Source organism: Homo sapiens, chromosome 22 (assembly GCF_000001405.40).
Source record: "Homo sapiens chromosome 22, GRCh38.p14 Primary Assembly".
Classification (NCBI taxonomy): Eukaryota; Metazoa; Chordata; class Mammalia; order Primates; family Hominidae; genus Homo; species Homo sapiens.
The window spans coordinates 22,823,335-22,837,894 of NC_000022.11; the positions used below are offsets into that span (position 1 = coordinate 22,823,335).

The 14,560-nt window shown below is 40.6% G+C and overlaps 1 long non-coding RNA gene and 1 further gene across 2 annotated transcripts in view; one reads left to right on the forward strand and one right to left on the reverse strand.

Annotated features, from left to right (window-relative positions):
- Positions 1–14,560, forward strand: part of IGL (immunoglobulin lambda locus) — an 896,838-nt gene that overhangs the window by 797,259 nt on the left and 85,019 nt on the right.
- The window catches only part of LOC105372948 (uncharacterized), a 63,619-nt gene that overhangs the window by 2,354 nt on the left and 46,705 nt on the right, over positions 1–14,560 (reverse strand). The gene's annotated exons all lie outside the window — the stretch shown is intronic.

Genomic DNA, 14,560 nt, shown 5'->3' on the forward strand with positions numbered 1-14,560 from the left:
GGGCTCTCAGGCCCCCTTCTTGCTCTGCAGATGCTTCCTCACGCTGTATAAGGGTTTCCTGCAGGATGGCCTTGACAATTCTCCTCTCTCAGCTCCTCTCCTTTCCCACCATGAGGTCTAAAAGGAAACCTGCTCGTGATTTCTCGTTCAGGACTGTGGCAACTTCCTTTTGCTTGTGTGCTCTGGTCCCTTAACGTGCAACTATTCCTAGCTCTTCAATGCAGGGACGTAGGGACAAGGAGTTTACTGCTTGGTGCAGTCCCTCCTGTTTTCAGGAACATCCTCATTCTAAATGCATCCCCCATCTGTCACACTATGCAGATCAATCTGGACAGAAGCCATCAGGGGGATGGCTTCCAGTTTCCAGGAATTGCATCTTGTTCCACTCTGTGTCCACCACGCTCTAATGAAGATGGCCCTCCTAGCTTAAAGTGACCACTTTAAGAAGACTTGAAGATGTTTTTGAGGGATTAAGAACAAAGAGGATGCTGCTGTTTTTCTTTTTATTGCTCCTGCTCTTTGCCGAAATTCCTCAGGTTGCTGAGCTGGGGAGATTTTGAGTGACAGGCTCAGTGCTCTCGCAGAATTCTCCTCCCCTCACATCGCTGAGGCCCTGTCCTGGAAACTCCTCACAAGTGGACGGTCTTCCCATAGGATGGGGGATTCCAAAATGGCTCCACAGGAAAGAGTTAACCTGAGTCCACCTCCCTTCCTCATGGACATCGAGCATTTCTAATTTTCATGGCTGTCAATACTTTTGTACCTGGAATCCCTAATAATCTAATGGTGAGAATTGATTTAGAACACATTCGGACATTAGCTGGGTCCAATATTTAAATTTTCTGAGCCAGTTGTTAAATACAGCTATTATCATATATAGTTTAGGCTCCTTAAACTTCGATTATACAGATTATATTTAAAACAAAGTAACTAGTTTACTATATATATTTACAAAGTAACTACTATATAACATCATGTTGTGTACCTGAAATATAAACACTAAAATTTATTTCAAAAACCAAAGTGTATTGTCTATTGATGCATAAAAAAACACTCACAAAACTTAGCACACTAAGAGAACACATGTCTGTGACCTTGTGACTTGGATGCACCTAGAATTGGGAGTAGCTTAGTTTGGTCATTCTCGCTCCTGGTTAATCACGAGGTTGCAGCCAAGCTGTCAGGCCAGGCTGCATTCAGGCTACATCTGCCAAAGAGGTTAGGAACTGTGGAAGCCTCCCTCTGGCTGTGGAAGCCTCCCTCTGGCTGTGGAAGCCTCCCTCTGGCTGGGAGACTTCCGCAGTTCCTAACCTCTTTGGCAGATGTAGATCATCTCAAGGATAAAGGAGAGAGTGGAGTGAAGGCCCCTGTCCTTGTCCTCCATGTAAAAGACCATCCCATGCATGCACTATTTTTTATTCTTTGCTGAGACATCCTAGGCATAGAGCACTGCCCCATTCATTCAAAGGTTGTAGAGTATTCTATGGTAGAATTTTAGCCAACTCACTTTTAATGGTTATTATCACTATTTTGATCTTATAAATAACACTGCAGCGAACATCCTTATGTAGACTCCTTTGATTTTATATGTAGACATGACCATAGAATAAATTTCTAGAAGTCAAATTGCTGAGTCAAAAGGATGTGTGCTTGTAATTTTCACTCACTGTCCTCAGATTCTCCTCTAGAGGGGTTATCTACAAATTCGCAATGTCAGCCATAAATATTCGAACAGAGTACACTGGGGAAAGTTTAAATGTTTTTCAACCTAGCAGATTTAAAAATGTTATCTTTTTTTAGTTTTGATTTCTCCTGTTCTGCTTGAAGTTGAGCATTTTCTCTAATACTTCAGTGCTATTTATTTTTATAATTTGGTAAACATTTTCTTAAATGTCCAGATAAGAAGGATTTTGGTCTGTGGTTCCCAAGAGTCAACTTTGAGGATATTCTGTAGGTATTTTTAGCACCATTTATAGTGTAACCATTTAAACCTATAAAAACCACTCTCAGCTCTGGGGCCATGGAAAAACAGGTGGCAGGACAGGGATGGCCCACAGGATGTGGTTTAACGGTCCCTGATTTGTAGGGTAATTTGAAGTTTGAGAATTCCACCGCATATGTTCTAGGTGGAGATCTCTATTTGAAGGATACTGTATTTTACCTCCTATAGTGGCCTGAGGCTTTTGGATAAGAACATACTTGTATCATCTATTTAATTGGATCTTGGGTCTTCCCAGGACAGCCCTGTGTCACAGTCTCATGTTTTTCATCTCATCCATTTGCTCTGAGTTTTCAGAAAGCTTTAGTATATCAGAAATAGACTGACCCTAGGTGGAAAATCAGAGGTACCGGGAGCAGCAAATGGTCAGGGAAGCTTGCACCAACTCTGGAATAAACCAGTACAGGCTCAGAGAAAAACATCATAAAATCAGCATTGTAGCTGAAACCAAAAACATGCATGATCTTTGAAGTTCTGGGGATTATAAATAAATAAATGAAGTTTAAGGTTTAAATGTGTTGCAAATTTACATAAAGCATGTAGATTTTAAAACTCAGAATGTAGCAATGAAATATGGAAGCTTGAGATTTTAAGCTGTTAAGGCCCTACAACAAATTGCCAGGAACAGAACAGGAACTTGATAGTCATAATGTCTTATGCTGGAAATTATCATTTTCTCTAAATGAAATTTTTTTCCCTTTTTTCTTAGACATAAGGAAACATCTCATTGAACACCCTTCTTTTCCACTGTCAAACACCCTTACCCAGAAAGGAACTGTAACATTAAGTAGGAAACAACTGCTTTTTTTCATAACTATTGAGAGATTTCTTTATTTGCACATCAAAATGTTGATTGTCAATGCTAAAATTGGAATTAGTAGTTTAATATGCACACAAGAGATTAATTTTGTTTGGATTATCCCATTTCTGTCTATTATTTGTCTTAGTTAACTCAGACATATTCTGCTTTTGGTATTTTTTGTTTTATTTTCTTTGCCAACTACATGTAAACCAAAAATAAAATTCCAATGCTCCCCCAACAACCCCGCCATCTGAGTGGACTCTCTTCTCTTGGTGGGGGCACTCCAAAGTTAATCTGAAAGACTGGTTCAGGCCATGGCAGAAAAGGGGTGTCAGACATGTCTCATTAAGCCCTTTTCCTTTTTGGAATTCAGGAAAAGCCAACCTGCACTTAACATCAATACAAATCTTAAGTCTGATAAGAAACATTTACAATCTATTCTCTCTGAAGCCTGCTACCTGGAGGCTTCCTCTGCATGATAAAACTTTGGTCTCCACAACTTATTATAACCCAGACATTCTTTTCTATTAATACTTTCAACCAACTGCTATCAGAAAAATTTAAAATCTATCTATAATCCAGAAGGCCCCACAACCCTGCCTCCCATCACCCTCTTGTTTTGACTTATCCTGCCTTTCTGGACTGAACCAATGTATATCTTGAATGTATATAATTGATATATCTTGTCTCCCTAAAATATATAAAACCAAGCTGTGCCCCAACCTCCTTGAGCACAAGCTCTCAGGGTCTCCTGAGGGTTGTGTTCACCAGTCATGGTCACTGATACTTGGCTCAGGATAAATATCTTAAAATATTTTACACAGTTTGACTCTTTGTCAACATATGGCTCTTTTCAAAACACCATTTGACACCCAGACATAACCCGCTGCTAATGATTACAAAATTCAATTTTATTAGCATTTAAATTATTACTTTAAATTATTTCAAGAATGCATGGATGTGATTTCCCCCACATCTAACTCACAAATGTTGCTGATGCTGACTTGCTCTTTTCTTTCAGTCTTAGCAAATAAAGAGGGAGTTTACTTTTCTTGATACCAGAAGATAACAGGAGAAAGTAGGTGAAACTCCCGAAAGCTGTTATCGTTTCCACCCTCAGGATGAATCACACAAGGAGTCACCTGCACTTCATTTGGATGATAAATAAATGAGATGGATCTTAGAGTTGGTGCTGATCTAGTCAATGATTTGGGATGTTGGGCTGAGGTGAATGTGTTTCACAGGTGAGAAAGACATGAGTTTTAGAGTCCATAGTGTGGAGGGTTATTGGCTGAAGTGTGCCCCGAGAATTCATACAATGAAGCTCTAATCACAGTGCATGAATGAATTGGAACATAGGGTCTTTAATGGGGTGATTAAGTGAAAATGAAGCCAGTAGGATGGGTTCTTTTCTATCTGACAGGTGTCCTCTGAAGATGAAGAAATTTGAGCACACAGAAATGAGACACCATAGATGAGCATGCAGAGGAAAGATCACGTGAGGACACAGAAGAAGGGAGTGATTTGCAAGCCAAGGAGATGTTACAGTAGATAACTAGGCAGACGTGACAGGGCAGGAGACCCCCTGCCCCAGGAATGTCACGCAAGCATCAGATGATGGTCAGGTAGTTGTTAAAACTGTCTCTGTGAATTAATAATTAGTCACAGCCGGCACCAAGGAAAGGCGGTCTCCCAATAGATAGAAAATACCTGAAGCTGGTGATCAGCAGCTTTCTGATAAGATCTCAGGCCTTGGGTGAGTGGGCTCAAGCAGGCAAACTAAAAGGCAAAACAGAGGCCAGGCATGGTGGCTCACCCCTGTAATCCCAGCACTTTGGGAGGCCGAGGTGGGCCAATCACTTGAGGTCAGGAGCTCTAGACCAGCCTGACCAACATGGTGAAACCCTGTCTCTACTAAAAATGCAAAAATTAGCCAGGTGTGGTGGTGCATGCCTATAATCCCAGCTACTCAGAAGGCTGAGCCAGGAGAATCACTTGAACCTGGGAGATGGAGGCTGCAGTGAGCCGAGATTGCATCACTGCACCCCAGCCCAGGTGACAGAGCAAGGGTCCTTCAAAAAAAAAAATGCAAAATAGCAGAGTTTAACCTGGATCTGAGACTCCCATGCTGCCCTTCCCTCCAGCCCTACAGGCAGGCTCTGCAGAGAGTGAATCACCAGTAAATACACAAACAAATATGATTACGTTCCTTTTGTTTAAGAAGTAGAGGAATGGGCCGGGCGCGGTGGCTCACGCCTGTAATCCCAGCACTTTGGGAGGCCGAGGCGGGTGGATCATGAGGTCAGGAGATCGAGACCATCCTGGCTAACAAGGTGAAACCCCGTCTCTACTAAAAATACAAAAAATTAGCCGGGCGCGGTGGCGGGCGCCTGTAGTCCCAGCTACTCGGGAGGCTGAGGCAGGAGAATGGCGTGAACCCGGGAAGCGGAGCTTGCAGTGAGCCGAGATTGCGCCACTGCAGTCCGCAGTCCGGCCTGGGCGACAGAGCGAGACTCCGTCTCAAAAAAAAAAAAAAAAAAAAAAAAAAAAAAAAAAAAGAAGTAGAGGAATGATTGAATATATTAAGTGAAAATAAGGAATACCAACACAAAGAAAAATTTAACTGTAAGTATGGTTAAAAATACACTGGGTGAGATAGACAAGTTAGATGTCGCAAAACAAGAGATTAGCAAACTGTATAGTGTAACACTAGAAACTATTCAAAATGAAACACATAGCAAAAAATAACGATAAAAATAAACAGCATCAATGAGATGTAGGAGAACTTCAGACAGGCTAATATACGTGTAATTGAAGTCCTCAGAATAGAAGATGGGGTAAGAATGAAAAGAAAAAATATTTGAATGAATAATGACAAAATATGTTCCACATTTGGTGAAAACCATAAACTGATATAACCCAGAAGCTCGATAAAACTTAAGCATAGGAAACACAAAGAAAACAACTCCAAAACACATCATAATCAAATTAATAAAATCTAGTGATGAAAAGTAGTCATTTAGGACAAAACTACAAAGAGCAGATTTCTCATTAGGAGCAATGCAAGCAAGAAGATAGTGAAGCAATGTCTTGAAAATAATAACATGCAAAATCCAACAACCTTGAATTCTTTATCCACCAGAAACATCTTTCAAAACTGGAGGCAAAATAAGACTTTTTCAGACATGTGAAATCCTACAGAATTGATCACCATTAGACTCTCGCTATTAGAAATGATAAAGGACACCCCTAAACAGAAAGAAAATAATCCTACATTGAAATGTGGTTTGACACAAAGAAATGAAAAATCAGATATGGTAGCTACCTGGATCAATTAGAAACCTCTGTATTATGTAATGTCTATAAAAAGAACAGTAATGTCTATAAAGAGAACTGTTCAGAGAAAAATTAATAAGAATACATTATGATTTGTAATAAAAATAAAAGCAAACTATATGACAAAGCAGAAAAGCGAAGGTGGGTGAAGAACATGTAATAATGGTTTTGTACTATATGTGAATATATAATAGCACCTGAAGGTAGATTTTGGTAAGTTATGTATTTACTGTATACCCTAAAACAACCATTAAAATAAAACCCTCAACAAAAAAGAAATATGGCTAGTACGCTATATTAGGCTTGTCCACCAAAAATTAATAGGATATGTATGGATATGAATATATATGTATAATGTATCTATATGGTGAGAGAGACAGACAGAAACTTATTTTAAGAAGCTGGTTCATACAATAGTGGTGGCTGATGGACAAAATCTGTTGGGCAGGCTATAGGCTGGAAATTTAGGTAAGAGTTGATATTGCCGTCCTGAGTTCAAATTCTGCAAGAAGCTAATGTTTCCCCAAGACAGCATCAGCTGTTATTATGCACACTGGCTCCAAATCGAGGAAAGTGTCCCCCCTGACCATTAGCAGAGCTCATGCCAAGAACAAGGCTGATCATTAACATCAATCACTGGGAAACTTCAGTATTTATTCTAAAAACCTTGAACTCATTAATGAGACTCACACACATTGTGGAAAGTAGTATTGATACAGGAGACAGAAATTATTTAGGCAGATAGTGAGGGTGACAGGGTCCTCAGCAGAGCTTCTCATCTAACAAAAAGCAGCCCTAAAAATCATTTCTTTTATAACAAAGAGCAGCCTGAAAAAACCGTGCTGCAAACATAGATAAGCAAGCTGGAAGCTTGCATGGGGCAATGCCAGCAGCTATGCCAATAGAAAAGTACTACCTGGGGGTCAGCCATGTCCAACATGGAGGCTCCATCTTCCCTTTTTTTGTCACCATGTGTATAGCAATAGAGAAATGGGCAACATGGAGCAGCTCAGGCAGATAACCCACCTGCGTAATAACAGATTAGGGCAGGGTTGGCCAGAAATGTGCACCCTATGCAAATGGTACACCTAGTCCTAATCAGTTTTTCATGCCCTGTGCAAGTAGCACACCTGGTCTAACCAGTCTTTGACACCCACCTTATGTAGATCAGATACTGCCTCCTCACCAGCTCATCTATAAAATTCCCTACATTTCACTGCAGATCCGGCAACCCATTTTTCTGGGTCCCCTCTCTGCAGCAGAGAGCTATTATCTTTCTTTCACCTATTAAACTTCTGCTGTCAACCTCATTTGTTGTCAGATCATGTCCTAGTTTTCCATGGCCCTGAGACAATGAACTTTGAGTATTCACCCCAGACAATGAGGCTATTTCAATATGCTTATACAAAGTCTACTGGTTTGAATATTTATCACATTTGAAAAATATCTTCATGACAATGTCTACACTGGTGCTTAACAAAATCAACCTGGTACCATGTCTTAGCCAATCTGACACTTAAAATTCACCACCACTTAAGCCAGGAGCTAAAGAAAACCAATTTTTAAAAATAAATTTCAAAAGAGAGAAAAAGGAAAGAGGAACAATGAACATATAAGACAAATAGAAAAAAAGAGCAAGATGGTATATTTTAACAAAGTATATTCCTAATCACATTAACTATAAATGGTCTAAATACCACAATTAAAAGGCAGGTATTATCATCTATATTCTAAAGGAGTTCAGGTAGGGTTGGTATGCTTTCTTCCATAAAAATGTGATACCAGTGAAGCTATTTGGGTATAGGTGGGCTTTTCTTAGCACGGAGATTTTAAATTGCTACTTTAATATCTTTAAGTGTCATAGACTTATTCAGATTTTCTATGTATTCATGAGTCAATTTTCATAATTTATGTCTTTCCAGAAATTTTACTTCATTTATCTATAATTTTGGCATTTACTGTTCATAATATTCCCTATAACCATTCTCACCCTTTTAGTGTCTATAGTGATGTCATTATTTTAGTCATGGTTTTGGCAACTTGTGTTTCTTTTTCTTTTTTTTATCATGGTCACTTTACCTAAAGATAAAAATCTATTGATTTTATTAATCTTTTTGAAGAGCCAAGTGTTTTTTTTTTTTTTTTTGAGGTTTTCTATTGTTTTCCTATTTTCTATTTCATGAATGTTTGGCTGTGATCCCTATTATTACCCTCTATTCACTTAGAATTTGAATGTTCACCTTTTTTAGGTTTATGAGGTAGAAGCTTAGATTATTTTCTTTAATTCTTTCTTCTTTCCAATACTAAGCATTTAATGCCATAGTTTTTCTTCAAAGCAGACTTAGCTGCATTCCTTAAATTTTAATATGTTGTGTTTTTATGTTTAAAAAGGTTCAGTATCTTCTAATTTATGTTGTGATTTTTCTTTGATTCATGGATTACTTAACAGTCTGTTCTTTCACTTTCAAATAATTGAAGATTTCCTATGGTTCTTCCGGTATTAATTCAAGTTAATTAGTTAATTCTGCATTAAATTATATCTTCTATGATTTTCATCCTTTCAAATTTATCAATATTTGATTTATAGCCTAAACTATGAACTATCATGAAAAATGTTCCATATGTATTTGAAAAGATAACATGTATTCTGCTGTTGTGGGTGCAGTTTTCTACAAATTTATTATAATTAAGATAACTTGGCAAATGGTTCAAATCTATATTCTTACTAGATTTCTGTGTAGTTATTTTGTAGATCTCTGAGACAGAGCTATTGAAATGAACAACACAAACTGTAGAATTTCCCAATGATTATTTTGAGAGAGATCATTTTTAAAATCATGGATCTAAATAATTTATTCTCCTCACAAAATGTCTTCTATGATTTCCAAATACTAATCAAGGGAAGAAGGCAGAGTTAAACTCACACTTGTAGATACCACGGGAACAGTGAGTGATCATGTGATGTGCCTCCAGAGGTTAGGCTAATGTAGTTAGAGTGGTTTATATTTATTTATTTATTTATTTATTTATTTATTTATTTATTTATTTAGACAGAGTCTCGCTCTGTCACCCAGGCTGGAGTGCAGTGGCGCTATCTCGGCTCACTGCAAGCTCCGCCTCCCAGGTTCATGCCATTCTCCTGCCTCAGCCTCCTGAGTAGCTGGGACTACAGGCACCCGCCACCACGCCCAGCTAATTTTTTGTATTTTTTAGTAGAGACGGGGTTTCACTGTTAGCCAGGATGGTCTCGATCTCCTGATCTCGTGATCCGCCCACCTGGGCCTCCCAAAGTGCTGGGATTACAGGCGTGAGCCACCGCACCCGGCTGGTTTTTTTTTTTTTTTTAAATCACACAGTTGGGCTAAAATATCCATGAAAAAATTTGAAGCATGTACCTTGAATAAAATATGAAAATCAAAAAAGTTAATTGCACACGTACAACATTGTTACCACGGTGCCTGCCGCATGGGAAATGAACAACAAGTGTTATTAATTCAATTCTATTTTCTTACACATTCAATGAATATGTATTGAAACAAATTCACTGAATGGTCCCAGATACTGAATAGGTCCTTGAGATGTACTGGCAAACAAGACAAAAAAAAAAATACATGTTCTCCGGGTGGCCTCATGGAAGATGGTGGAGTAAGAAGCTCCAAGAAATGGTCCCTCCTGTGATATAACTATTGAAGTGGCAAGAACCATCAGCATTCACTCTAATAAAACTATGGTATCTCATCCCATATTTGCAGCATCCAGGGAAGAGCTGAAGAAGAAAGAGACAGGCTTAAGGAAGTCTCTGTCAGGTAGATCTCTGACCACAGAGATAACTGAACAGAAATTTCGTGGATCACTCTGACAAGAAAGGTAGTCCTTGCGAAAATATTCAGGAAAAGTCACAACACAAATAAACAACTGCACCCCTCAGATGAACAACTGCACAATATCAGCCAAGGGGCATAATCTGATAATCTGATCCTGGGAGTTAACAACATCACAATATTCAAAATACTCAGATCTCAACAAAAATTTGCACAGCATACAAAGTCACAAGAGAGCACGACTCATTCCCAGGAAAATAATCGACTGAAAATCTTCCTTAAGAAGCATTCATTTGCTCCCATCTTCTCCCTTGGTTATATAACACGTCCTTCCACATATACTTGATTAGAGCTTGTGCCCCACAAACATGCCTGGCATGTACATTAGTGACTTCTGAGAGGGAGGTGGGGGCAGGAAACAGTCCCTCTGGATACATTTCGCATCACATGAACCAGTGAACACATCTCTGCAAGGTCCTGCATTCTAATAAACAAGATTTTTCTGTTTAAAAGAAAACTTAAGTCTTTCAGAAAACTGCATTTCAAAAGGGAACCTTGTCTCTGCTGCTTGGGCTGCAGTGAGGACAGATTTACTAAGTGCTGGTTGCTGTGTTTTGTCTTCTAGTGTGGGTACACACATCTAGAAAAGTTTTAAAGAAGATTGGGGAACCCCCACCCAGCACTGGTGGGACTTTGAGTTTGCTACGGTTGTGAACAGAACATGGAACAGAGGACAAGGTGGCCCCTCCTGAAGATGAGAGTTTTGCTTCTTGCTGGAAGTCCCTGGACTCCTGGAGTGTTCTCAGGGGACCTCTTAACAGGATCTCAAGGGAAAGAATCCAGGGTACTGGATCCACACAATCAACCTCACGGATTTCTGAGTAGGTCATTAACCTATCATGCCTTTAGCGTTATCTCAAATTATACATGGTATCATCTCAACTAATGTCTAAAACAATATACGGCATAGATATCTAAAGAACTAGTGGTACATGGAGGATGGCTTTCTACCTCTGAGCCCTAGAAGGGACTGTGGGCCTTGGTTTGGGGACTCTAATGACTCTAAGTCCCCTGGTAGTGCTCAAGTGCAAAGGGAATGACTGACGCTTTTTTTGAGGCCCCTTCTATTGTGTAAAATTTATTCTGTACTTGTGACACCCACCTGGTCCTTCTTCTGAACATGGGAAATTGCCAAGATGAAGTCTCCAGGCTAACGGCTCAGACAGGAGCTCAGATAAACATGCTGGGAAGTGGAGAGCAAATTGACATTCAAAGCTCCTCCCAACAAGCTTCAAGAAGAGGGTAACACAAGAAGTCCTTGTAACCAGGTTCCACGGGGCAGCCTCAAGCAGAGCTCTTGGAAGTCCCTCCCACCACGGTCTGGGTCTCCTTCTACCTCCTGCCCTTCATTTTCTCCACAGGTCAGAACATCCAGGGAATTCAGGGAAACCCTTTCACTGCTATTTCTCCACAAGCTCCAATCCTCAGGGGCATTCTTTCCAGTTCTCCCGAGCATTCGGCATCATTCATGAAATTCTATGTTTCCAGGTCTCTGTGCTCTGGCTGTGCTAACTCAGCCCCCGTCTGCATCTGCCTCACTGGGAGCCTCAGTCAAGCTCACCTGCACCCTGAGCAGTGAGCACAGTACCTACATCATCAAATGGTATCAACAGAGACCAGAGAGGTCCCCCTAGTATATAATGAAGTTTCACAGCGATGGCAGACACAGAAAGGAGGACAGGATCCCCAATTGCTTCTCGGGCTCCAGCTCTGGGGCTGACTGCTCCCTCACCATGTCCAACCTCCAGTCTGAGGACGAGGCTGAGTATCACTATGGAGAGAGCCACAAGATTGATGGCCAGGATGGGTGAGCCACACACAGTGACACAAAGGGAAAGTGAGGCCAAAACCCCCCACCTCCCCTTTCTCCTCAGGGACTCAGAGTCAGCAGTCACATGTCCCCTTCCAAGTCCCTGAGACTTCTGACTCTCCTCCTGCAGAGACACCCCTAGGCAGAGGCAGATGCAGGCCATGATTTAGGCCATTTTGACAACTCATCATTCTGTCTCCTCAACACCAGTCTGTGGGGACCATACTAGGAGAGACCAGAGCAGCCCAGGCAGAAGGACCCTGAGAGAGTGGCCAGGCTGAGATGACCGTGTCCCAGTGTCTCACTGTGCCCTGTGCTCCCTTACCGGGCTCTGCCCCAGGAAAGGACATGGATCTTGACCTGTCACCCCCCATTTATGAGAGTTCAATGTGTGTGCATCCTCGTTAGCACTTGATATTGTCAGTTTTTCCTTAAAGTCTTTCAGATAGAGCTGTAGCGATATCTAATTATGTTTTTAACTTTTATTTCTTTAATGACTTATTATGCTAAGTATCTTTTCAGGTACTTATCTGTGCTTTGTATGTCTTCTTTGGTGAAATATTTAATCAAATCTTTGCATTTTTAAAATTCAGGTTTCTCAGGTTCACATTTCCTCATGTATTTGTATGAGTTTATATGCATGCATGTGTGTCTATGCATTCCATTCTGTGTGATTTCCCAACATGTATCAGCACAGGTATCCACCACTACAATCAAGACACAAACCAGGTCCATCACAACATTTCCTGGTGTTTCCCTTTGATAATATCTACCTCCTCCCACCCAGTTCCCTCCCTTGCCCAACCCTGGCAACCACTGATTTGGTTCCCTATTCCTAAAATTTTGTCTTGCAAAAACGTGATACAAATACAACCCTATTGTAGTAGACAGACTTTGGGGTTGGAATTTTTTACTTAGCATCATTCCCTATAAAGTCATTGGAAAGGTGTGTGTATCAATAGTCAGTTCCTTTCAATTGCTGAGCAGTATCTCTTGGTATTAGTTTAACAAAACCTGATGAATTACTCACCCACCGAAGGGTATCTGGATTGTTTTCAGTTTGGAGCTACTACACCTGAGGGTGCTACGAACATCAGTTTGTATGTTTCTTGTGAACATAAGTATTCAGTTCTTTGAAATGAAGGTCCAATATTATAATTGCTGTGTCATACACTAATTAGGTCTTTAGTTTTCTGAGAAGCTGACAAACTGTTTCCTGAAGTGAATGTAACATTTTTTTCTGGCCAGTAATGAAGGAATGATCAAATTTCTCTGCTTCTTTGGGAATTGTGTGTTTTTACTCTTTTTTTAGGTAACTATTGTGATAGGTGTGTAGTGATATTCCATTTTTTAAAATTTCGTGTCTCTGATCGTTAATGATGATCACCTTGTCCTGTGCTTATTTGCCATCTGTATGTCCTCTTTGATCACGTTTGTGCCCTTTGCACATTTTCTAATTAGATTGTCTTTTGTTTTGCTCTTAACTGGTATTCAGTGTTGGGTGTTTTGTTTTTTTGAGACAGGATTTTACTTTGTCATTCAGCCTGGAGTGGAGTGATGCAATCACAGCTCACTGTAGCTTGGACTTTCCTGACTCAAGCAATCCTCTTGCCTCAGCCTCCCAAGTAGCTGGGACAACACGCACACACACTGCCTCACTAATCGTTTACAGAATTTTCTTTGTAGAGACAAGATCTCCCTATTTGCCCAGGCTGGCCACGAACTCCTTAGGCTCACGCAATCCTCCCTGCTCAACCTCCCAAGGTGTTAGAATTACAAGCATGAGCCAATGCACTCGGCCGGTTTTCACTGTTCTTTATGTATTTTTTATACTAGTCCTTTACTGGATATGTGATTGGCAAATACTTAATGCCAGTCTGTAGCTTCTGTTCACATCCTCTCAAGAGAGATTTTTGCAGAGCAAAAATTGATGGTTTTGTTAAGGTTCAATTTATCAGTCTTTCATTTCATGACTTGTGTACTTGGTGAAGTCTAAGAATTCTTTGCATAGACATAGATCTTGAAGATTTTCTCCTTTTTTTTTTCTTTTTTTTGACAGAGTCTCGCTGTCGCCCAGGCTGGAGTGCAGTGGCGTGATCTCTGCTCACTGCAAGCTCCACCTCCCGAGTTCACACCATTCTCCTGCCTCAGCCTCCTGGGTAGCTGGGACCACAGGCACCCGCTACCACACTCGGCTAATTTTTTTGTATTTTTAGTAGAGACAGGGTTTCACAGTATTAGCCAGGATGGTCTCGATCTCCTGACCTCATGATCTGCCCCCTTCGACCTCTCAAAGTGTTGGTATTACAGGCGTGAGCCACCGCACCTAGCCGATTTTCTCCCATTTTTAATATAAAAATAATAGTATCGCTGGGCACGGTGGCTCACGCCTGTAATCCCAACACGTTGGGAGGCCAAGGTGGGCAGATCACAAGGTCAGGAGATTGAGACCATCCTGACACGGTGAAACCCCGTCTCTACTAAAAATACAAAAAATTAGCCGGGCATGATGGCAGGTGCCTTTAGTCCCAGCTACTTGGGAGGCTGAGGCAGGAGAATGGCGTGAACCCGGGAGGCAGCGATTGCAGTGAGCCGAGATCGCGTCACTGCACTCCAGCCTGGGTGACAGAGCGAGACTCCGTCTCAAAAAAAAAAAAAAAAAAAACAGATAAATAAAAAATAAATCTGAGAGATGGCTGAGCAATTTCACTGAGTTTCATCATGGAATTCTG